The sequence below is a fragment of the Homo sapiens genome, chromosome 4 (genome assembly GCF_000001405.40).
Source record: "Homo sapiens chromosome 4, GRCh38.p14 Primary Assembly".
Taxonomy (NCBI): domain Eukaryota; kingdom Metazoa; phylum Chordata; class Mammalia; order Primates; family Hominidae; genus Homo; species Homo sapiens.
The window spans coordinates 79502821-79530122 of record NC_000004.12 but is presented as its reverse complement, the minus strand read 5'-3'; the positions used below and the strand labels follow the sequence as shown (position 1 = coordinate 79530122).

The window sequence follows — 27302 nt, the reverse complement described above, 5'->3', positions numbered from 1 at the left end:
ACTCAGAGGTTTTCACCAAGTGAGCTGTAATGCACATTGGGAGGAGGAGTGTCATAGCTCAGGTCAGGGTGTGGTAAGTGAGGAGAGAAAAAGATTAAGATAGACTAATCAGAGGAAACGTGAAAATTGAAAGATAGATGGAGGGAAAGAATCCCACAAAGAAAAGTAGATCAATTAAGAAGCCTAGCAAAGAGTAGTATGAAGGAAGCCAAAGAAGTAAAGAAAACATCAAGAATAATGGAATGTCATAGGGAAGAGATGAGATCATATTAAATAAGACAAGATATATCAAAATGTCTGTTTGATTTAGCAATCCGAAGGTCATAAATGACTTTAATAAGAACCGTTTCAGTAGAGTGGTGGGTGCAAGACAGATGGAATACGTGTGAGAAAGTGAAGTCAGAGAACTGATTTTGTCTCTCAAGAAGATTATGTGTAAAGGGGCAGTGGGAGATTGGGCTTTGTGTTCAGTGAAATGCATAGTCTTTCTAAAGGCTAGAAAGAGGTTTTTTTTTCCTAAGTTGGGAAAAGCAGCACCTGTATAAGTGCTAAGAAAACGCACTATTTTTTCTTCTGTCCTTTCTTGTTTAAATATGGTACTTTTTACATGGCTTTTACAAGAAAACTTGTGGTGATTACCAACATAAAATGCCAACTAGATAAGAATAGTGACAAATACAAATCAGAGGCCTGCTGGTTTCTTTCATTCACTTATGTAAGTCCTGGAGGTTTCCCATATTCGGATGCTTCAGTTTTCTTTCATACTAAAAAGTAGAAAATCTTATTTTAACCAAAAAATGCATACTGAGACATAGAAAATCATAAGGTATGCCCTGTATCCATATCATAACACATATAGGAGCTAATGACTGGCTCCTGCAAATATTTTCAAAACAATGCTCTTGATTTCAAAACCTGTGCTTTGTTACTGAACAGAACGGTTTTCCCAACAGAGGATTGTCATTATTCATTTTAAGAAACCCGTGTTTGCTGAAGTTGATATAATATGACTTATCTCAATAAACTACGCTCAAAGCTTTGCATTATTTGGTGCCATTTCTACTCATTAAATGTCATATTTTTAATCTCTCTATTACAATGTATAAGTAACATTTATCAAACCACCCAGGATATGAATCTATTTGTCAGTTTCATGTTTTTTAAAATATAATAATAGTAAATATAGAAAAGAAACATTTAAAAATTTAAAAAGAAAGCACTGTATTGCTTCTTAAGTAAGGCATCACATTGTTAATAAGTGGTCTATGTACTCATTAAAAAGAAAATTCTCAAATATTGCAGTAAGTAATAATGTACTAATAGTCGTGTCTGTCTCTTCCAGCCTATAAACAAAATCTAGGGTATAAGCCAAAATAACTCACCACAATGGATCAATTTTTGGAGAGTTAAAAAGCCTATCAGCATTCTGGATGTAGACACCTGATTCCTAATCAGGAAGTGCTTTGAGGTGAGCACCTTCCCTTTCAAGCCTGCATTTGGATATTTGGCGTGGGTGTACAGTCATAAAAAGGAATGTGTCATGAAAAGAAATGGAAACAAACAAGCCACAATATCAAAAGGAAGAAAAAAAATACCACAAACCACAGTTTCACAGTCCTCTATTTATGCTAGCACATTCTGGGAAAATCACTCAAAAACCTGTTACTAATCATTTAAACCTTAGGCTGTCGACATTTTTCTGCTTTGCTAGCCAAATAGTCATGTGCAGCAGCCAGAGGGTTAAAGAGCCAGATTTCCTGTCCCATACTGTAGCTTTGTGTGAGCAATATGGAGGACCCCATCATCGCTGCAGAGGCTCCTGTTGAACATGAAGAAGTCTATCCAGGCAAAAATATGTGCAGCCTTCTGGGCCAGATTTGCTCCGGAAGGGCTTCTGAGTTGGCTGTGCAGTGAACTAAGCTGTCCAGACCTGCTGTTCTGCAAAGGCCAAGATTCTCCCTTTGTGCGTCTAGTTCTTCAGCCACCAGACCATACAAAGCCTACTTTCCCTGGGTCCAGACACCCTACACCATCATAAAAAAGTCTTTGTTTTGTATCAGGAAATAAAATACACAATTTAATATAAATTTGATTATTTATATTTTGGTAGACTGAGACAAACATTTCAATATTCACATTGAAATAAAATAAGTGAAACCGAGCAAGTAACTAGATAGTTCTGAGATTTAGACTGTGGAAGGCAACAAAATTTTCTATTACTTGATTTAAAAAAATACTTACAGCCTGTCAATTATGCAACAGTTTTATTTCCAGTGGCCTAGGCACAGTGCTTTATTTGTATTATTTTAATGGAAGATTTATGATATGCTGATAATAAGTACTATATCCTATGTCTTTAATACATACATTAGGAGAGTTCATTGTCAAGGGAATGGGAAATTAATGCTCTCAAGACCCCGGTCACACATCATGATTGTACTTTGTGACTTGGAGTGAGAATTCTTGATTTTAATTTTCTCCAGGCTCTGCTCATTTGACTTGTGCTCATCCCTGCTTAATAAACAAGATAAGGACAAAAATACTTAAAGTCGGCAATATTTTGTGGACAATTATTAGTATTTTTCACTTCATAAAAAATCAAAGTTCAAATTCAGTTTGACAAGAAACCCACCTACACTACCTCCTTCTATGAAGTTCCTCACTGACAGTCTGAAAATCGAGTCTCTTCTGCAATAAGAGACAACAGAAACCTATAAAAACAAGCAAGAAGTCTGTGTCACACACAGTCTATAGCCGAGGACTGCTCTCTTCAATACTCATGTGATTCATGACTCACTCAGTCATCGCGAACAGAAATTTGAAAGTACGCCTTGCAGGTGAAAACAAAACCAGTGAAACATTTGATTTGTCTTTGACATCTAAACATCATATCTTGCTTGTTTGGAAATCTGACTAAACGAGATCGACGATACGTCCTGTTGTAGTCAAAGCTCAGTGATCTAGAGGAGGCGAAGTTTGACTCAGGATTAACATAAGCCACTGTGGGACCTTGGAGTCAGACTCAAAAACTTAGATTCCATCATGCCCTTAATTATCAAATGTGTTTCCTGCGAAGAAAGGAGTACTGTTTAAAATGTTTGATAATCTGACAAGGCCATAAGGCTTAATGGAATCGATGATTACACACAGATGGACGATTAACTCTCGAGGTTTAACGTAAAAAAAAAAAAAAGAAATTGTGCTGGATTGCTACTTAATGGAATTACACTGCCCATATGGAAAAGAACTATACCCTAAATATACCCAGAATGATGGAACAGGTGGCAGAATCTGGGCAAGACTGCTTGGAATGCACAAAAGCATTCTGAACTTGTAACTGCCAGAAAAGATTCCTGGAGAAAAATAAAAGAGGGGAATCTTTGAAAGTGTGTTAACTTTTCTACATTTTGGAAATATGAGTTGCAAAAATAATTAGAAAACTGAAACCCAAAGTACATTTTTTCTGGTAGGTCTTTTTTCTATACTATCTTTTGGAAACCTACACACTATGACTGAGGTAATGTTACGATGCATGAATTAGTATTTAGCTCCAACATAAACTCAGCAAGGGCAGAGACCATTTCTTTCTTAGTCATAGCTTGATCCTTCAAAAAATATACTTGAGGAAAGGAAATTAAAACTATTAGCAAAAATAGTTTTAAATGAAGATTGGCCATCGTTTCTGAATTTCATATTCTTTACTAATGTTTTACATCCCCCCTTCCATGAATAAACAAGAGCTGCATATGTGAAAATAGTGGCAGGATATGAACACAAGTAAGCATTTACATATAAATGAGCAAATGATAAGGTAATATAATTCCAATTAAAAAAACTACTGCTGATAGAAGGTAATTTATTTGTGATGTTTTGCTCCAACTCGGCAGGGTTTTTATTTTAAATATTAATAACCTTTCAGATCACACATACTCCATCCTTCATGGACATGGAGGGGCACGAGGATAGAATTTGGAAGGCCTTAGTAATAATAAATTTAGCAGGGAAGTGGCCCTGAGCACTTACTATGTGTAAGAATTTATTTATTTATATGCATCTTTTTATTTAATTCTTAATATAGCCCTTTGTGTTGTTTCCCTATTTTACCAATGAGGAATCTGACATTAAGTAGCTTCCTAAGGTCGCAGAGCTAGTAACTCATAAAGTTGGAACTAAAATAAGAGACTGGTCTTGTCGAGGTCCTTTCACATATAACCATTTTTGTCAATGCCTATTCAGCATGATCTCTCCTTGCTTCTGTGTTACTTCTCCAGTTTTGCACATGCCTGAGCATTCTTGGACTCTTTCTTGTGCCTGATGCCTTCCATAAACATTATGGATCCACACTGTTTGCCAGCTCTCTGTTATTAAGATCTTTAGAAAAGTCATAAGGATAGAAAAGACAAGAGAGCCCTACCCACAACAAAATAGTTAACCACAAAAAAAAAATACTAAATGATGAAATGAGTGTAAAGAAGCTTTACAACATTTGGTTTCTCTTCCGTAAAGTACTAAGTTCTTTTTTTTAAATTAAATGTTAAATTCTTAAAAAAATTTTGTTGGTGTCTCTGTTTTATTGATGCATGTAGCATATGCTTGTTATGCCTACTGGATAATTCAGGAAAACTCTATCCCTGGGTCTACTAAACAATTCTTGCTATGGACTGAATATTTGTGTTCCCCAACCCCAAATTCATATGTTGAGACCCTAATCCCTATTGTAAGGGTATTTGAGGGTCAGGCCTTTGGAAAATAATTTGGTCATGAAGATGGAGCCCTCATCAATGGGATTAGTGCCTTTATAACAAGAAACATGAGAGATACGATCTCTCTCTCAAACATGTGAGCATGCATCAAGAAGGTGGCCATCTGCAAACAAGTAGGAAGCTCCTCACCAGACGTCAAATTTGCTGGTACCTTGATCTTGGACTTCACAGACTCCAGAACTATGAGAAATAAATGTCTGTTGTATAATCCACCTAATCTATGGTATATTTGTTACAGCACCCCAAGGGAAAACCATTCTGAAAAATTGGAAAATAATTACCTTGGTTAAACTAATCACTGCATTTCGTCATATAATTTTGGCAAATTAATACTTTTAGATCTCTTTTATGACTCTACCATGAAAGTGGAACACACTTAATTGTTCTCCCTAAAAGTAATTTTGACATAATCCCACAGACCAATTGCCTACTAAAATTATAGACACAACTTCTTCTAACTGCTTGCTCCTTAGCATTCCATATGCTTAGGATTTTTTATACATTTTTATATATGTGTATGGTTAAATTTTTTTTTTTCAGACTTTTTTCCCTACCCAGAGAAATTTTGTCATTGACAAGATACAAGATAAAACAGAGAACAGACTTCTGGTCCAGTGAGAAGACCTCCTTTTAGTCTTTAATATTTTATTTTCTGCTAATTAGTTGTAAACTTTTTTCTCTTATATGTTCCAGGCTTCCATTTTTCTCTTAGGATACTTACCTTCATTATGTCATAGGAATTACAAGACAAATTAAGAATGAAATGGAAAACTACTTGAAAAAATGTAGAGTAAATGAGCTGTTGAAAATTGGGGACAATATGCTTTCCTTCCTCGCCGTGTACTGCACAGTATAGATGTTCAGTCAGCCTCTATCACAGATAAATGAAAATGGTTCCTATCCAAATAGGTTGTAAAAAACTTGAGAGTAAGGGGCTTACCTTACAGTGGGGCCACAAAAAAATGTTGCTTTTGATAAGGGGTTATACAAAATACAATGACTAGAGTAGCATAGAGCGCAATGAAATCCAAATATTTTAGGTAGAAAATATATGCACTTTCTTTTGCACTTGGACTATGGACATAGTGTCCTTTGTTATTGTGGGGATTTTTTTTTGGAAAATAAAGAGTATTTTATCAATATAATATAAATTATTTATGCTACTATCAAAGTTATTTTGTGCCTATCTAGGAATCTTGAATTTCTAGAATTCTAGAATTTCTAAAACATTTTGAATATCAATTATAGTCTTATTTTTCAATAATCATTATAGCTTCCAGTTCTACATAAGATATTACTTCCATTCCCCAGCAAATAGCTTACTGTTTTGATGATGTAGAGTAAGGGAAATACATTGGTAGAAACTAGTGTTGAATCATATCTTTATCTTTTTAGCAATTGATAGGTGTACTTTTAATAAGATATATAGAATCACTATTTAATATCCTTAAAACATTTAGTATTTCATCACATTGGACATACTTTGAACATTTCTTATTAGTGGTTTTTAAATGGTGGGCTTATTTTATTTATTCGTTTTTGATACAGTGTATTTTTTGCCAGATAGATACTTAGTCTTATGATTGAAATGAAATCTTAAAAACTTATCCTAGTCCAAAGTGGCTGTCTCAAGGAAACTATTATGCTACAATATTTAATGCAAGATTAACTAATAAGGAAAATCCTAAGGCAGCCTGTGAGATGGAAATCACCAGAGGACTCTTCTCAAGAGTAAATGGGTTGGTAGAAATGCTGCAATAGCCCAGATAGAGACAACGGAAATAATGGTATTCCTTTGAGATTGATAGCAGGCTCTCTATTTAAAGGCACTGTTTTCACACTGGGAATTTCAACACATTTTGCTTTTGTTTCTGTAGATCTAACCAGGTCCTGAAAATGATCCTAGTCACTTACTTCTTGGTTGGTCCAAGTACATGACTGCCTCACTAAAGGCCAAATAGAAGAGAAAGAATGGTGATTTGTCTACTGGATGGACTTCAAAATTATGAAAGTAGAAGTGGTTGTTTATTGGTTTTATAGAAATATCATCAGAGAAGATGAGAAATTGCAGGCTCTGGAGAATACACACACACACACATTCAGTCAGTCAAGGAACAGAGGGTCAAGTAGAATGAACGGTACCATCCAGATTCCCTATCATCTATAGAGCATTATCAGACATGGCTTTTCTTAGCAGGGCCGAGGAAAGAATATTTACAAGATCACAGCTACTCAAAACCCAACATGCCAACTTCTAAATATACGCCGTTGGAAAGTATAGGAGTGGAGAAAAATACAAGAGCTTAAAAATGTTGGTTTTTGATGCTTTTGAACCAATTCTCATGGCGATTTACACCATAGCCTGCAAGACATATCTCAGGCATTTCTTGTGCGGAATAAGACTTTCCCAACAATTAGCATAATAGCTTCAAACCACACATGATGGGAACAACTTTATCTTGATTGTTCTTCCTTATAAGACATCAAAGGTGGAACAGAGCAGAATAGTCACGACACAGATGAAAAAAAAAAAAAACATAATCATCAGTGCTTGTTTTTACCATCCTCCACCTAAATGTTTTCTTACACTGTTTTCTTTCTGCCTTCTCCCCTCTCCAGGCTCTGTTATCCTCCCTACACTCCAACTATACTACTCTAATTTTGCATTCTGAATGTCTTTATGCTTTGGTTCTAAATCTCCTAAAACAGGTCCTGATATTTCATATTTAGATGTGTATTTATATAGTCTCATTTTTTTACTTACCAGTGTTCACACACACACACACACGCACACACAAGATACAGAAAAATGAGAAGAAGGAATATCTCAATTAAATCATGATTAGCAACTTTTCAAAGACAAGGTTGTAAATGTCAGATCCAGGGAAGTTGACATAATAAAGTGTTCCTAATTTTAGTTTCCATTGAAGGTGAGCGGTCTGTGGCTAAAGATTAACATCCCTCTCTAATCAGAAATATCTGAGACACTTTTTATTCAGGTATGCCTAGTCCTTTTTCTGTAGATGATTCTAGTATAGCTTTATATTTCATGAAAGTCAGTCTATGAAACCTATTTCTGAACCCACAGTAGTAGTCCCTTAGATAGGACTTCTCTTCACCCAATCACCAATACATACACAATTCCAGCATTCTTTAATTCAAAATCTGGATTTTTTTCATCATGTGACTCCAGTGAAACTGGTGTTTTACAATAATCTACCCAAATTATATGTTCAATACCATTCACATACATCTGAATGATCTGTTCTATAACCATGAAGGATATCCGGAATGTATTGTTACAGAGAAGCAAGACAAAATCAAAATACTACAAGCCCTATCACCCCTTAAGGCCCAATTTTAGGCACATTAAAGGTTTTGTATGTATTTAAAATATTCATTATTCTTTATTAAATCACTTTCAGAATTCCTTATTTTCCCGTAGCTTCTGGGAACCAGTTGCATAAAACTTAGCACAAAATTCTTGTACAAATTTACCCTTGTGCCTTTACTGCCAATTATTACATGTCCTGTTGACATCCTAAACCAGACATGCCATTTAAATAGTAAGCTATCATAAGAAATATACAGACTTTTATCTTAATATAATGTCATCTATATGTTGCTGTGAACCTGGATTTGAAAATATAATAGGATGGTCATTCTAAGGCAAGAGCGAGAGGGAAGTATAAGGTTTTTACAGGTACCTTCAAAAGCCTAATTCAAGCTTAAATGTGGTGACTGACAAGTGTTTATTTTATTCTTTAACTGAAAGCTATTCTGGGGTTTATTTTGTCATTTTAGGGGTCTTCTTTTTGTTAATTAAACCATCCTTTTGGAGAGTTTTTAAAATATTTTTTTCTTTGTCAGCTATTGGTTATTAAATTGTAGTCCTCAGCTTATGACTGCAGTAACAGATGTCTCCTAGTTGGAGTGAGGTCAGAAGGTTCCTTTTGAATGAATGTAAGGAAAATACATCAGTACAATAGAGCAAAAGGTATGTATGTCCCAGACAGCTGAAGAAGTCTGCTCAGGATACAAAGTAGAGATAGGGCATTAGTGCACTTAATCACTTTTGTGTTTGGCCTAAAATAATTTAATGATTAACTTAGAAACCAGGGAAACAGTCATAGAAAGTTGACAGTTTCAGTATGATATTGGCTTGGGTTTGTCATATATAGCTCTTATTATTTTGAGATACCTCCCATCAATACCTAATTTATTGAAAGTTTTTAGTATGAAGCGTTGTTGAATTTTGTCGAAGGTCTTTTCTGCATCTATTGAGATAATCATGTGGTTTTTGTCTTTGGTTCTGTTTATATGTTGGATTACATCTATTGATTTGCGTATGTTGAACCAGCCTTGCATCCCAGGGATGAAGCCCACTTGATCATGGTGGATAAGCTTTCTGATGTGCTGCTGGATTCGGTTTGCCAGTATTTTATTGAGGATATTTGCATCAATGTTCATCAAGGATATTGGTCTAAAATTCTCTTTTTTGGTTGTGTCTCTGCCAGGCTTTGGTATCAGGATGATGCTGGCCTCATAAAATGAGTTAAGGAGGATTGTCTCTTTTTCTATTGATTGCAATGGTTTCAGAAGGAATGGTACCAGCTCCTGTTTGTACCTCTGGTAGAATTTGGCTGTGAATCCATCTGGTCCTGGACTTTTTCTGGTTGGTAAGTTACTGATTCTTGCCTCAATTTCAGAGCCTGTTATTGGTCTATTCAGAGATTCAACTTCTTCCTGGTTTAGTCTTGGGAGGATGTATGTGTCGAGGAATTTATCCATTTCTTCTAGATTTTCTAGTTTATTTGCGTAGAGGTGTTTATAGTATTCTCTGATGGTAGTTTGTATTTCTGTGGAATCGGTGGTGATATCGCCTTTATCATTTTTTATTGTGTCTATTTGATTCTTCTCTCTTTTCTTCTTTATTAGTCTTGCTAGTGGTCCATCAGTTTTGTTGATCTTTTTAAAAAAAAAAAAACAGCTCCTGGATTCATTAATTTTTTGAAGGGTTTTTTGTGTCTCTATCTCCTTCAGTTCTACTCTGATCCTAGTTATTTCTTGCCTTCTGCTAGCTTTTGAATGTGTTTGCTCTTGCTTTTCTAGTTCTTTTACTTGTGATGTTAGGTTGTCAATTTTAGATCTTTCCTGCTTTCTCTTATGGGCATTTAGTGCTACAAATTTCCCTCTACACACTGCTTTGAATGTGTCCCGGAGATTCTCGTATGTTGTGTCTTTGTTCTCATTGGTTTGAAACAACATCTTTATTTCTGCCTTCATTTCATTATTTACCCAGTAGTCATTCAGGAGCACGTTGTTCAGTTTCCATATAGTTGAGTGATTTTGAGTGAGTTTCTTAATCCTGAGTTCTAGTTTGATTGCACTGTGGTCTGAGAGACAGTTTGTTATAATTTCTGTTCTTTTACATTTGCTGAGGAGTGCTTTACTTCCAACTATGTGGTCAGTTTTGGAATAGGTGTGGTGTGGTGCTGAAAAGAATGTATATTCTGTTGATTTGGGGTGGAGAGTTCTGTAGATGTCTATTAGGTCCACTTGGTGCAGAGCTGAGTTCAACTCCTGTACATCCTTGTTAACTTTCTGTCTCGTTGATCTGTCTAATGTTGACAGTGGGGTGTTAAAGTCTCCCATTATTATTATGTGGGAGTCTAAGTCTCCTTGTAGGTCACTAAGGACTTGCTTTATGAATCTGGATGCTCCTGTATTGGGTGCATATATATTTGGGATAGTTAGCTCTTCTTGTTGAATTGATCCCTTTACCATTATGTAATGGCCTTCTTTGTCTCTTTTGATCTTTGTTGGTTTACAGTCTGTTTTATCAGAGACTAGGATTGCAACCGTTGCCTTTTTTTGTTTTCCATTTGCTTGGTAGATCTTCCTCCATCCCCTTATTTTGAGCCTATGTGTGTCTCTGAATGTGAGATGGGTTTCCTGAATACAGCACACTGATGGGTCTTGAGTCTTTATCCAGTTTGCCAGTTACTGAATGGGAAAAACTGGAAGCATTCCCTTTGAAAACGGGCACAAGACAGGGATGCCCTCTCTCACCACTCCTATTCAACATAGTGTTGGAAGTTCTGGCCAGGGCAATCAGGCAGGAGAAGGAAATAAAGGGTATTCAATTAGGAAAAGAGGAAGTCAAATTGTCCCTGTTTGCAGATGACATGATTGTATATGTAGAAAACCCCATTGTATCAGCCCAAAATCTCCTCAAGCTGATAAGCAACTTCAGCAAAGTCTCAGGATACAAAATCGATGTACAAAAATCACAAGCATTCTTATACACCAATAACAGACAAACAGAGAGCCAAATCATGAGTGAACTCCCATTCACAATTGCTTCAAAGAGAATAAAATACCTAGGAATCCAGCTTACGAGGGATGTGAAGGACCTCTTCAAGGAGAACTACAAACCATTGCTCAATGAAATAAAAGAGGATACAAACAAATGGAAGAACATTCCATGCTCATGGGTAGGAAGAATCAATATCGTGAAAATGGCCATACTGCCCAAGGTAATTTACAGATTCAATGCCATCCCCATCAAGCTACCAATGACTTTATTCACAGAATTGGAAAATACTACTTTAAAGTTCCTATGGAACCAAAAAAGAGCCCACGTTGCCAAGTCAATCCTAAGCCAAAAGAACAAAACTGGAGGCATCACGTTACCTGACTTCAAACTATACTACAAGGCTACAGTAACCAAAACAGCATGGTACTGGTACCAAAACAGAGATATAGACCAATGGAACAGAACAGAGCCCTCAGAAATAATGCCACATATCTACAACCATCTGATCTTTGACAAAAGTGACAAAAACAAGCAATGGGGAAAGGATTCCCTATTTAATAAATGGTGCTGGGAAAACTGGCTAGCCATATGTAGAAAGCTGAAACTGGATCCCTTCCTTACACCTTATACTAAAATTAATTCAAGATGGATTAAAAACTTAAATGTTAGACCTAAAACCATAAAAACCCTGGAAGAAAACCTAGGCAATACCATTCAGGACATAGGCATGGGCAAGGACTTCATGTCTAAAACACAAAAAGCAATGGCAACAAAAGCCAAAATTGACAAATGGGATCTCATTAAACTAAAGAGCTTCTGCACAGCAAAAGAAACTACCATCAGAGTGAACAGGCAACCTACAGAATGGGAGAAAATTTTTGCAATCTACTTATCTGACAAAGGGCTAATATCCAGAATCTACAATGAACTCAGACAAATGTACAAGAAAATAACAAACAACCCCATCAAAAAGTGGGTGAAGGATATGAACAGACACTTCTCAAAAGAAGACATTTATGCAGCCAAAAAACACATGAAAAAATGCTCATCATCACTGGCCATCAGAGAAATGCAAATCAAAACCACCATGAGATACCATCTCACACCAGTTAGAATGGCGATCATTAAAAAGTCAGGAAACAACAGGTGCTGGAGAGGATGTGGAGAAATAGGGACACTTTTACACTGTTGGTGGGACTGTAAACTAGTTCAACCATTGTGGAAGTCAGTGTGGCAATTCCTCAGGGATCTAGAACTAGAAATATCATTTGACCCAGCCATCCCACTACTGGGTATATAACCAAAGGATTATAAATCATGCTGCTATAAAGACACGTGCACACATATGTTTATAGCGGCACTATTCATGATAGCAAGGACTTGCAACCAACCTAAATGTCCAACAACGATAGACTGGATTAAGAAAATGTGGCACATATACATATACATATAGCTTCATGGAATACTATGCAGCCATAAAAAATGATGAGTTCATGTCCTTTGTAGGGACATGGATGAAACTGGAAACCATCATTCTCAGCAAACTATCGCAAGGACAAAAAAACCAAACACCGCATGTTCTCACTCATAGGTGGGAATTGAACAATGAGAACACATGGACACAGGAAGGGGAACATCACACACCGGGGACTGTTGTGGGGTGGGGGGAGTGGGGAGGGATAGCATTAAGAGATATACCTAATGCTAAATGATGAGTTAAATGGGTGCAGCACACCAACATGGCACATGTATACATATGTAACAAACCTGCAAGTTGTGCACATGTACTCTAAAATTAAAGTATAATAATAATAAAATACAAAAAAAAGAAAGTTGACAGTTTCATCCATGTAATTTTCTCTTAAAATGTATTTCACTCATGCCAGCAAATAATACTAGGTAAAGCACTGTCCTTTCACATCCCTTAGAAACTGTTGCTGTAAAATTATTTATTAGCAAAATTGAAACCATCACTTCAGATTTCACTTATACATTTTCACATAGCTCACCTTCAGTGTGATCCTATATTTATGCCTGTCTAAGCTCAATATCTTTCAATATTTACTTATTCAATTTAACATTTACTGAGTACCTTTTTGTGCCATAAAACATACTGGAACGTGGCATCTGCCTTGTGTCTTGAGGATGCTATATAAAGAGATAGATAAATATAGATGTAGATGGGAGCATTGATTTATAAAAATAAATGCAGAAATGAATATGTAAAAATAAATATAATAAGGTGATAATACAGTGTGGATATTTAGAGAGTACAGAGCTTATTTTGAAATGCTTTTTATTTTAATATATTTATCTTATTATTTAACAACTATTTATTTGTAAGCCTGGCATTACTGTTGTCATAATTCTTACATATTATAGAAACTTCAAAACAGAAGTGATTCCTAGATTCTGTTCAGTGTTAGAAATTGTTATTAGATTGAAGACCAATTCATGTCTTATGGAACAGCTCCATTTTCAGAAACGCACAAAAAATGTCTACCAATCAAATCCCAAAGAAGATCCATCATTCATTTATCTTGAAAAAATAAAACTTGCTCAGTTTAAGCTCTTTTATACTATACTTTTTAATTCTCTAATTCCAGATTATTTCTATTATTTTCTTCTCCAAATATAGTTTTTTTAATTTACTTTTTTAGTTGTTTTGGAAATAGCTGTGTTTTCTTTTCGACAATCTGAAAGCTGATTCAGGTGCTTTACTCTCAAATGAAAGGTCAGCATTTCTAGATTTCCCTCATGCAATTTTCTAACATTGTTACCTATTTTGTTTCAGTGTTAGGAGTTCTCTGACAAAGAATTTTAAAAACCAACCAATCCTAGGACATAGTGCGAAGGGAAAGAGGAGAGAGGCTAACTCTCTCTACCATTTGCAATGAAATCTCTGCTAAAGCTTCCTAGAAGTTGGTATGCCCAGTCCATCAGGAGTCATATTGTCTGATACTCTCTTAACTGAAATCTCGACTTCTTTATTACTTTGTGAAGCTCCTACAGCCACGTTAGATGAATTATCTGAAAAGCTATTAATAGGTTCATTCTGAATCCACCAAATAATCACATGTCCTGTCACAAGTCCATCAACGCTGGACTCATTGAAAATTCAAATCGTAAATTGTTTGCCAGGGAAATATGTGATCTATTTTCAGTGTGTGCTGGTGTTCAGTAAGATGCTGCAAAACTAGAAATAGAACACCTATTTTTAAATTGAACATAATATTTTCTTGAGCCACCACTAGATTCAATGCACTGCAAACAATGCAAATATGAATAAGACAAGCCTAACTCTCAAAGGTGGAGATTTCGAACTGATAGCACAGGATGTGTTTTTAAGACATGTGTTAAACAATCCTGTACATAATAAATGGTAGAGAATTTTGGTAAAGGGAGAATGAAGGGCTCATGGGTTCAGGGTAAAAAGGCAATTAAAGAAAGCTTCAAACATAGGTGACATTTGGGTTTGTCTTCAGGGAAAGACAGTGAGTGGAGAATATTTCAAGCAGCAGAAATCAAATGAGCAATAAAAGTAGAAAAGTGCAAATGCCTGATAAACATTTACTGAATGAAATGGTCCTAGCAACACTCAAATCTTTTTTCTTTTTTCTTTTTTTCCTTTTGGCAATGGTAAGGATTTCCTCATCTTAAACTCTGAATTTTGGGGATGTTGAGTGTATTTTATCACTTTTTATAACTGATTTCCACAGATAAAGTGGTTGTTTCCATATCTATCCATCTGCTAATCAAGGATCATTTTGGAATTAAGTGTAAGGAAAATTTTTTTAAAAAAGGAGACCATGAAGCTGTGTTACATCTTGAAGTGCATTAAAATATAAAAACAAAAAATAGGAACACACTCCAAATGACTCATTTGTTTTCCAGTATTCCAGAACTTAGTGACAATAACTGGCAGTAGAATAATTTCACAGTGTCATCCTGGTGGAACATAGGGTTCTCATAAGAATACATTTCTATCTCCTTCAACATCACTATTAAAATGACTTATTTGTTTCTGATTAATTAGGACCCGGTTGCTTCCTTCTTGGCATTGCGTTTTTCCTCCTGTTCATCTTCTGGACAGGCTAGATCTGCGTGGGCATGTACCAGTTTGTGAGATTCTGGATCAGAACTCAGTGGCTTTGCAACAGTGATAAACCTAACTTCTGGTAACTGTGAATTTGTGTTCCAAAGTGCCACAAACCGCATGGTAAGATGCCACAAAAAGGAGCAGTAACTAGGTCGAGGTTTTGGCAGTCTCCACGGAGCAGTAGCTCCAATACTGGCATGCCAGTGATTAAATAGAACTAAGAAATATTTTTTCCTTATCTTCCTTTAGCAGAACAAAAGAGCTCAGATTAACTGGTGAGGAGTGCAGAAGAAAAAAGAAATCTTTTTAGAGAAGAGGAGTGTAACTGCCAACTATCTAAAATCTAATTATTTATGTCCAGTATGAACAGAACTCAAATAAGGGTACATACCATGGGTATAGCCAGAGTGTGTGTGTGTGTGTGTGTGTGTGTGTGTGTGTGTGTGTGTGTGTGTGTGTGTGTGTGTGTTGGGGGAGGGGTTTCTGTTAGAAGGGGGAAGAGGTGTGTCTTCTCTTGCTTTCCCGCAATGCTGTCATAGCCTATGGTTTGCAGCTGTCAACAGAGTCTTCAGAATAATGCCATTTCCCTAATGCTATCATAGCCTATGGTTTGCAGCTGTCAACAAAGTCTTCAGAATAATGCCATTTCCCTAGTACTTTTCCTTAGATCATCATTAGGTAAGTGCTAAGACATTTGCTATTTTGGAAAAGCAAAGCAATGTGCTAGACTTGGTAGTATAACACTGAACTCCAGGAGAGGCTAAGCCTCCTTCCTGGGAGCATGATAGGAAGTTCACTGTAGAGCACACTAATCATAAGTGTCATTGCTGTTCATGTTTTTCATATTTGCCCCATGCAAAGATGTACCCAACTCCCTAATTCTGAGTGTACTCTTTCCAATGAGTTCATGACTCCCAATAATTAAAAACTAAATATGCAAGAAAGCAAAAGACTAAAACAAAACTGGTGAGCAAACAATTGAAAAAAAAAGCATTGAGAAAGCTAATTGACATGCTTTGTAAAATGCCAGAATTATTACCTTTCTGTGTGTTTAGAAAAGAAATTATCTTAAAATGTAACACTTCTTTCTCTATTCATCCTAGTGAATCCAGTCGACAGGATTTAGCGCTGGGAAGAAACCCAGAAGGTTTGAAATCCTGTAAGAAAGAAAAGTATATTTTTAGAATTATGGTAACAGCTGCTAAGAAATGTATTTCTATTTTGTAGTTAGTCTGAGCTGCCTAACATAAATGTGTGGTAGAAAAAAGATAACAGAGATAAGGCAAGTGGAGAGAATTATAGCAAAGTGAACACTATCTTTGGTTGTTGTTGAAGGAAAAATTGAGTACTAAAGATGGCATTTTATCAAAATAAAACTATATATTGTACATCTAAGAGCTAGAATTAGATGTCTATCCTCTCCCTCTCTCTCTCTTTTTCTCTCCATTCTTCTCCTCCCGTCCTTGTATTTCTTATCTATTTTTAAATCTTCTCCTAATGGAATCTTAGGGAGTATTAACATAATAATATCGATCTCATTAAAAACCACCTTCTAATGTTCCCAAATCTGCTACCAATAGTCAAATACATAACCTATCAAAATTTTACATTAAAAATAACAAAGATATTTAAATAAAGCTCTAAAAAGTCAATTATTTTGCAAATGACTAAATAAAAATTTTATTATTGTTTATTTTCTCATGCAATTTTTATTTCTTAGATTTTATTTTTAAAGTATAGGGTAAGTACAAAGTACAAATAGAAATAAAAATGCATTGCAATTTCTTCACATAATGAAATGGGTATAATATTTCATATTTTGTCTGCCTGTGATTGGGTTTGTTAAAAAATAGTGACATCGGCCATGCACAGTGGTTCACGCCTGTAATCCCAGCACTTTGGGAGGCCAAGCAGGCGGATCATGAGGTCGGGAAAGCTAGATCACCCTGGCCAACATGGTGAAACCCTGTCTCTACTAAAATACAGAAAAGTTGGCCGGGCGTGGTGATGCACGCCTGTAGTCCCAGCTACTCGGGAGGCTAAGGCAGGGGAATCCCTTGAACCCATGAGGCGGAGATTGCAGAGAGCCGAGATTGTGCCACTGCACTCCAGCCTGGTGACACAGCAAGACTCTGTCAAAAAAAAAAAAAAAATATATATATATATATATGTATATATATATGTAGTGACTTCACATATTTGGGAAATGGTTAAATATTATCAAACATAATATATATTTGTGTTATGTTTCTACCTCTTGGGCTTATTTTGTCCTTGGATTTGATGGAAAGGGCCACTTCTCCATATGAAAGAAAATGGATGCTTTTTCTTTGAGGACTTTTCAATCTAGTCTCCACTGGGAAACAGCCTGGGCTTGGTATCAAAATGACATAATGTGCATGTGGTTTGTTACCTAGGGGCTGCTATAGAAATTTAATTTATTGTCTCATAAATTAACTACATTAATAACATACATATTGTTGTTATGGTTAGTAACAATTATTAAATGAATACCTGGGAGGGTCAATGTTTTACAGGTTGAAGAAATCTCAAAAAATGCTCTTAATAATTATTCCTTGGTCTAGAAAAACACATTTTAATTAGTCCTTAATTTTGCTCTCCTAGATTTTCTTGGAAATATTCTATGGCTTTTTCTATATTCCATACACACATATAAAAGCCAGCACACCATATTTTTCTCATTCATATCCTAGACGATGAAATTTACCATCATTATCAATGATTACTCCTTCTACTCCCTTCCCCAACAGCTCAAATGTATGTGCTTATTCTCACTCCCTTTCTCTTTCACTGTGTCCTTCTTGTGCTATGCTGTTCTGAGCACCATAATTTTTACAAGGGAAAAATAAGTGGCTAAATAGTATTGGGACCTTTGAAATATTGAGCAATAATGATACATACATCTGCATGTACAAAATACCTATTTTCAGAAATACACTTTATGAATCAGAGAGAAGAGGATGAGAAAATAATATTCATCATGGTGGAAAGTTTGAAAACTGAAAGATTGGTTGAGAGATCAGACTTATTTGAAAAGAGCAGATTTTTTAAATGGTGACAATTCATTTAAAATTGCCACTGTTTAACTGTTTTTCTTCTCTCCCTAAATCCCTCCTCTTCACTGTGATGTATTCCATAGATCTGAAAGGGTACTCCTCAGAGGACTCAAAAGGTTTTTGCAATTTGTTTAACACATAGCTCACCTCCAACCCCCATACCACAACTTATTCCAGATTTTACAATGTTATTTTTCTCCTCTACTGGCAACCATTGAAGAAAAATAATTAATAATAATGTTGTTTGTATTTGACCATGATATATGCCCAGGAGCCACTTAAAAAAATACTGTCATCAACATGGTAGCCTGGGATAAGATGATTATAGGGAATCTTTGCACTTTATTGTTAGAACCATGTCTTACTCTTCCTTATACTCACAGCATCTATCAGAAGGACTAACGTAGCAAGAGATAGTCAAATATCTGTTGCACCAAATTTTATTTAATTTTTTATTTCCATTTTGAAATATAAATTGAACATTTCAAGTTTAATTTTCCCAATCAGTACTGTTTACTGAATTCCAAACATTTTCTCCCCAAATTAGTTACATGATCTAACAGAGACCAAAAAAAAAAAGTATAAAAGCTGGTCAACTGAAAGCCAGTTATGGACATTTGGTTGTTAATCAAAACATTATCTGTTATGTATTGAGTAATTCTATATGTTAGGGACTGTTTTAAGTGTTTTACATATTTAACCTCATTTAATCCTCAAAACAAAAGTATAAGGCAGGTACGATTATTATTTCTAATTTACAGATGAGGAAATTCAGGCACAAAAAAGATAAGCTACTTGCCCAACAGAGAGAGTCAGGATTTGAATCAATGAAACCTAAATAGAGAGTGAACAAATTTAAAACTAGACTTTCAGGTTTATATGACAACCTGGGACAAATTTGATTTTGATTTCCACAGTAGATAGTAGTATATATTTATATGTTATAACAGATTTGGTTTCCACAGTAGATAGTAACATATATTTATAATACCAAACAGGACACAAAGTTTAATTATTTAAACTTTCTTTTTCTATACTGTTCTGACCACCATAATTTTTACAAGGAAAAAATAAGCAGCTGAATAGTATAAGGACCTGTGGAATATTGAGTAATAATAATACATCTGCATGCACCAAATATATATTTTCGGAAATATACTTTATGAATGAGATAGAGAGAGGAGGATAGGAAAATAATATTCATCATGGTGAAAAGCTTGAAAACTGAAAGATTAGTTGAAAGATCAGATTTATTTGAAAAGAGTAGATTTTTTAAATTGCCACAATTCTCTTCTCCCTGAATTTGAGTCTCTGCTACTTCTCCCATCGAGAGAATTCTATTTCTCCATTTCTTGAATTGAATCTTGTAACTTGATTTGGCAAATAGAATGTGGTCAAAAGGATTTGCCAGTTCTGAGCCTAGGTTTCAAGGAGTTTTCCGTGATTCCACTCTTGCCCTTGGAGCCCTACAACTACCATATATAATCAAACCCTGCCTACCCTGTTGGTTGTGAAGAGAAATGTGGTCCAGTAGCACTATCACTCCACCCAACAACCAGCCAACTCCCAGAAACAGAGTCACCTAGATGACCTGCTAACTAAACATAAATGCATGGGCAGGTCCAGTCAAGATCAATCAGGCCTGGATCAGATCAACACAAAAGTCCATCTGATCCACAGACTTGTGAAAAGTAATACATTGTTATTATTTTAAGGATCTAAGTTTTAGAGTGGTTTGTTATGCAGTAATAGGTAATGATACAGCATGTATTACAATGACTTAGATATTGGTAGTCCCGCTTTAATGTGAAAATGTGCTTGGTATTTTCCTGGAATGCCATGACTCAATATCACTCATTTTTAACTGTTTAAACTTTTTTAACAAATCAAAATGAAAAGAAAATTTGCTTATCTGAGAAATTTCAGCTTTGCTGTCTACGGCAGTGGCATTACCATAATGATTTGTCATGCAATTTTATTTTCAAAGCCCAAAATTAATTACAAACATGAAACAAATCATGGTGTTAAGACATACATTAAAAACAAATTATGATCTCAAAATGCATAATTTACAGCTTGGAAAATTAATTGATTAAACCCAAAGTGCATAAAAATAATTGGAAAAACTGAGGACTGAACAAACCATTGACAATATTATCTAACCGAGCAGAGAATAATGTATAATGAGCAAAACTCACAGCCAAAAAAAAAAAAAAATCAATAGTCTAATTAAATCATAAGAACCTGGGTGAAGATAAGTTGAAATTCCAGTTTGGGGATATCTCTATATTACAGTGATGGGCACAAGAAATCAAATCCCATCTTTCCAATGAAGTCAAAATAGAAATTATAATATTGACATCAAAATCAATCATAATTTTTTAAAAAGATGTGCAATAGATTTTACATATTAAAGCAGCACTTTACACACGTAAGTAATTTAAATGTGCTCTATCAGTTATCTATTACCATTTATTCTATTCTTTTCATGTTCTTTTGACCTGGCTTTTGTGAAATATATACATATAAAATGTATTCAAGATATTATCTATAAATCAGAAATGATAAGAAAATAAAGCAAATAACACAGCATTTTTTATACCAAATAATATTTTGTTCTAAGCTTTTTAGATTATTTAATACCCATTTTAAGAATGATGAAGATTTGAATTTTAATATTTAGAACTAATATTATAGGCATTTAAACATATATGATGGTCAAAGAGTATGTTTCAAGCTATTGTCTACATGTTAAAGTTTTTAGGTAGTCAAATTTCCATTGTATGGTGTATAAAATGTGTTATGAACAACTTCACAGAGAAGTTCAACACAAATAAAACATTTAATAATCATTGTTTTCATAACAACCTTCAATTCTGCTTATATTTAATATTGAAAAATTGAAGTAGACTAGGTTATTCAGTTTATCCATAAAAGTTTCTATGGGCTCAACTTTTTACCAAAAAATTAAAACTCCATATTTGGATCCCCTTTGGTCAGAGTTTGGCAGCTTTTCAGAGGAATTATATCACTAATTCACCCATGCCTTCATTTGGGTTTGCCCCATAGCACTTTTGGAAACCAGATCTTATATTCAGGTACTTTATTTGGGATTGATTCAGGCAGGAAAAGTGAGTGAATGGGGAAAGTGAGCAACGAAGGGTGAAAAAAAATCAATAAATAGACACGGATTTACATTTTGCCATTGTTAGCAACTGGGACTTAAACTTTCTGGAATTGAATTATGCGGAGAGCAGTAAAATCCTGTGAACTAGCTGGACTCTCAGTCCCTGTGGAAAAACTTGATAAACTCTAAGTGTTATTTGAAGTCAAGAGTTATAAGAAGATAAAAGAAAAGAATGAATGACCTAAACAACAGAACTAAAAACGTGATCTACACATTCTAGTAAACTACTTGTTTGTTCATTTATTCATTTACTTATTCACAAATCCTATTTTCTAAGTACCGATTATAAGGACACTTATCAAAGTCTTTGGTGATTAACGTAATCTTATTCTTGCATAGGAGACCTGTAAACACATATTTTGCACTTTACTAAAATATGTAGAGTAATGTGATTCCTGAATTTATTCATGCTATCATTCAAACATTGTTTAGTGAATAGCTTTATGGTTGTGGGTTGTTGTTAAGAAGTGTTATGAAGGTAATTCAGGAGAGAAAGGATAGTGTTTTCCAGAAGTAATGTTGATAAAATTGGCCATCCATATGCAAAAATAAAAAGCCCTCAAACTGTGCCTCATACCATACACAAAAATTAACTAAAATGGATTATAGATCTAAATGTAAAACTGCAAATGATAAAAGTTTGAGAAGAAAACTTGAACGAAAAATCTTTGTGACTCTGAATTAGGCAAAGTTTTTTCAATATGATGCAAAAATAATGACCTCTAAAAATTAAAAGTGATATATTATATCTTATTGCAATTAAAAGCTTCTGCTTGTCAAAGCAACTTCAAGAAAATGAAAAGCCATAGACTGAAAGAAGATATTTGCAAAGCATATATCTGATAAAAGACATATATACAAAGTACATAAAGAACCCTTAAACACAACAAGAAAAAGCAAACAACCCAATTAAAATAAGCAAAAGATTTAAATGGACACTTTACTAAAAAAGATATAATAATGGCAAATAAGAACACAAAAAGAGGTTCACATGATTAATCAACAGAAAAATGCAAATTAAAACAATAATGAGATACGGCTACACACCAATGAGGGTGGCTAAAATAAAGACTGATCATATTATGTCTTGGGGAAGGTGCAGAAGAACTAAAACTTTCGTACATTGCTACTAGGAAAGTAAAATGGTAAAACTACTTTGGAAAACAGTTTGTCAGTTTCCTAAAAAAAGGAAAAATATAACCCCCATATTATCCAAATAATCCAAGTCTAGATATTTTCCCAACTCAACAGAAAGCATATATTTATGGAAAGACTAGTACGTGAATGTTCATAGTATTAAGAGTTTTATTTGTAAGAGCCAAAAATTGGAAACCATTCAAATATCTATTGACAAGTGAACAAGTGAACAAACTTTAGTATTTTCATACAATGAAATGTTATTAATACTTAATAATAAAAAGGAATGAACAATTAATCCACACAACATGTATAAATCTTAAAATTATTATGCTAACTGAGAAACTTCAGTATCTACTATATGATTCCATTTAGCATCTACTATATAGTTCTATTTACATAAAACTATAGAAAAGGCAAATAATCTATAGTAGCATAAGTTATATCAGTGGATCCCTGGGGAGAGGGAAAAAGAATGGGGGTGGGTGGAAAGGAAAGACTTAAAAGGAACACTAGGGAATGTCTGAAGGTAATGGATATGTTTCTTATCTTGATTGTAGTGATTGTTTCACAGGTGAAAACGTTAGTCAAAACTTATCAAATTGTGTACTGTAATTTATTATACGTTAACCATACTTCAATAAAGCTGTTAAATAAAAGAACCCTGTTCTGGTATAGGTTGTGTCAAGCATATATGGAAATTGTAGCCTTATTGGTCATAAGCATATTAATTGCCCAAACTGAAAAAATCTAGATGTGACTAAATCTGAGTGCAGGGCAGAGAGGTTGTCCTGAGAAGGGAGTACCAAATGATACAGTTGAAAGAAACATAACAGCTAGAAGATAGTGATAAACTAGGACTGAGGGGATAGATGAATGGCCCCAGGAAAAAATACAATCTAGCTGGGACACATGGGATTCGTCCCTCTCCTGACATTTAATATTTTCCTCTGTGCCATCTTTGGCTACTGTCGCCTGCCCTACATTACTGCTACCAAAATTCTAAATATTGCCATTTCAAGTGAATGATTGTTTTTTTCCAATGTGCAAAAGAATATGCTGGCAATATGAACATTTCCACAAGTGCAAATAATGAGTTCTTTGTTTTAGAATTTGAAATCAAATTTGGTAAGTAAATGTGTTAATGTTCAGGGAACTTTATGTCTGAGATGATCATGCTACTATAAAGACACATGCACATGTATGTTTATTGCGGCACTATTCACAATCCTATGCAGCCATAAAAAACGATGAGTTCATGTCCTTTGCAGGGACATGGATGAAGGTGGAAACCATCATTCTGAGCAAATTATCACAAAGAGAGAACACCAAACACCTCATGTTCTCACTCATAGGTGGGAATTGAACAATGAGAACACTTGGACACAGGGCGGAGAACATCACACACTGGGGTCAGTCAGGGGGTTAGGGGCGGGGGAGGGATAGCATTAGGAGAAATACCTAATGTAAATGATGAGTTAATGGGTGCAGGAAACCAACATGGCACATGTATACATATGTAACAAACCTGCAGGTTGTGCACATGTACCCTAGAACTTAAAGTATAATAATAGAAAACAACAACAACAAAAAAAACCACGTTTGATCACTCAACTGTCAAGTTGAATACTTCCTATCCTCCTTTCCAAAGCCAGCAAGTTAAAAGTATTTAAATGATTTCCTGAAACACTGTGGTCAGTAGTTGCCTCTGCAGAGAGTGTTCATTTAACACAGGACTGTAAAACTTTAAAACCAATCCATGCTTCTTCCTGACATATAGCTTCAACACCCGTTTCTCTTACAGCTAAAGCTCTTTCTTCAATTTAATTCGCCTTCAGACTCTTAGACAGAGTGTTATACCATATTTTGCTGTTAAATCATGAAAAATGATAGAATCTCTACCCTTTTGCAAGAGTCATTGTCAAATTATGCCCTCCAATAGGTAATATACAGCTTGAGTCAGTAATTTCAACTGTTTGTATGCATTTCAGGTTTGGCAATTACCCTTCCAAGCTGTAAATTGCCTATTTTGAGAGCATAATTTGATTTTTAATGTTTGTCTTAACAGCCTGATTTGTTTTGTCTTTTGATTTGTTTCACATTTTAGTAATTAATTTTAGACTGAAAATGTCTCTCCTAAAAGGAAGGTGGAGTTTGGAAGCCTTTGAGAACTACAGCCATTTGATACTGACATAAATTTCTGTCTAGGGTCATAGACCTTAAGCAAAAAATGCCAGGCTCCATTTTCTTTTCTTTGGAAAGAAGTCATCACTTCTTTTCCAGGAGATATGCTATTTTGAGTTTCAAATGCACACTCCATAACCCCCCAAATATAAATACACATGAATTAGCAAAATTGGCCCTAAGAAATATACTCAAAACAGAAGTGATATTTTTCAAGGCATCAGTCTGAAAATAAAGACTAAAATGTGTCTTGGGGTTATATAAGAGTATTTGTTCTCAAGTGTCTTTTGAATTCATTCTGCGTCTTTAGCCTACTGACAAAAACTGTAAGGTGAAAGCAAATCTCTGGTTCCCAGACACTGCAAAAATTCTGTTACAGTTACTTAGGAAACACTAACACTTTTGACTTAGATCTATAGCCTTTAATACCCTCAGTAACATTTTTAGTTAGTTCTGTGGGATGCAACAAGTTTTTCCTCTTATACATTTTTTTGAGAATGAGTGTAGCAATGAAGAAGGTAACCAGAAAGTAAGATGTGTAAAAGCATGAGAAGGAGATCATAGCTGATGGAGAAGGGAGAAATAAGGGACACTCAGGAATAGAAATTAGAAATAAAATTGGAGGGTAAAGCTCTCCATGACTTGTAAAACATGTGAGGGAACCTCTCCAAATCATTTAATAATTCCCTAATGACACCAAATTGCCAAACTATAAAAAAGTTTGATTTCTGCTCTATTTTTGCAAGAACATAGAGTACCCAATGTCTTACAACTGGTGGGCAAATTGAATTAGAGGTTTTTTTTTTTTTTTACATTTAATGTCAATAACACATTCATGAAAGACGGAGTTTCTTTCCATTTGCTATATGTAAAATGTGCATAAATTATAAAAACAGAATGATGTCTGAATGTATCGCCTGTTCCAAGTGGGGAAAACTTTCTATATTTCAATTACTATTTAGAAGTATTGGACAATGTAGATAGGAGAGAAGACCAATTAAATGGTTAATTATCAGTCTAGAGCACACATGTTCTCCTGGAACTATGTGTTGGATATTTAACCCTTCAATTTACCGAATTCAAACATTCCAAATAAAAAGTACTTGTGCTTGGGGAGTTGGGAGTGAATTTGAGATCTTTTGGGGGGTGGCTTTTTTCCACACCTACTTGTTTTATGACGATTGTAGATTCATACAGAGTTGCAAGAAATAATTTCGAGGAATCTCATCCATATTTCTCCAGGTTTTCCCAAAGGCAATATCTTGCAAAATTATAATACAATATCACAACTGGGATACTGACATTGATGTGGTAGAAATACAGAAACTTCCGTCGCCACAAGGATTCTTCATGTTGCACTTTTATATTCATACCCACTTTTCTTCCACTCACTCCACCCCCTCTTTAATCCCTAGTAACCACTAATAATCTTCTCAATTTCTACAACTTGATCATTTCAAAAATATTATATAAATGAAATCACAAAGTATGTAACTGGAATCAACTTATTTTCACTCAGCATAATTCTCTAGAGATTTACCAGGTTGTGGCATGTATCCGGAGCATTTTCCTGTTCATTGTTGAGTAGACCACTACGGTATGGACGTACCATAGTTTAGTCATTCTTCCATTGAAGGACATCTAGGTGGTTCCAAATTTTTTCCTATTATAAGTAATGTTGCTATGAACACTACTAATGTGCAGATTTTCACGTGAATCTAAGTTTACATTTTTCTGGAATAAATGTCTAGGAGTACAATTGCTGGGTTTTATGATAATTGCACGTTTAGTTTTTAAAGAAACTGCCATACCATTTTCCAGAGTGGTTGTCCACTTTACATTTATGCAAGTAAGTATGAATGATCCTAGTTTCTCTGCATCCTCACCAGCATCTGGTGTTGTTACAATTTTTTGTTTTAGACGTTTTAATAGGTGTGTAGGGATATCTTCTTGTGGTTTTAATTTGCACTTCCCTAACAGCTAATGGTGTTAAACATATTTTCAAGTAATTATTTTTCAACTTTATAGTATTTGGAAAAATGCCTGTTCATGTCTTTTGCCCCCTTTCTAAATGGATTGTTTATTTTCTTAATTTTGAGTTTTGAGATTTCTTTATATGTTCTAGACATAGGATAGATACTAGATTCTTGGGAGATTTGTGATTTGCAAATCTTTCTCTTAGTTTGCAGATTGTAACTCTTTGCATAGCCCCAGATCCCAAAGACTTTGTTTTAAGTTTTGTAGTTTTACATTTTATATTTAAATCCATAATCTATTTTGAGTTATTTCAGTTTACAGATGAGGTTTAAATTGAAGTTTTTTTTTTCTTTTTTGCTGGAGATTTTAAATAGCTCCAGTACTATTTGTTGAGACTCTATCTTTGTTGATGGATTTGTTGAGACTCTATCTTTCTTCTATTGTATTTCTTTTACAATTTTGTTAAAAATCAGTTGCATTTATTTATATAGATCTATATTTTGGGTTCTGTATTCTGTTCCACTGTTCTATGTGTCTATCCCTCTGCTAATACCACACA

At 34.8% G+C, this 27302-nt stretch overlaps 1 long non-coding RNA gene across 1 annotated transcript in view; it reads right to left on the bottom strand.

Annotated features, from left to right (window-relative positions):
- The window catches only part of LINC00989 (long intergenic non-protein coding RNA 989), an 83868-nt gene that overhangs the window by 46338 nt on the left and 10228 nt on the right, over positions 1-27302 (bottom strand). The window contains exon 3 of the long non-coding RNA NR_038826.1: positions 16221-16338. This is a non-coding gene — a long non-coding RNA (long intergenic non-protein coding RNA 989). The remainder of the gene's footprint in view (positions 1-16220; positions 16339-27302) is intronic.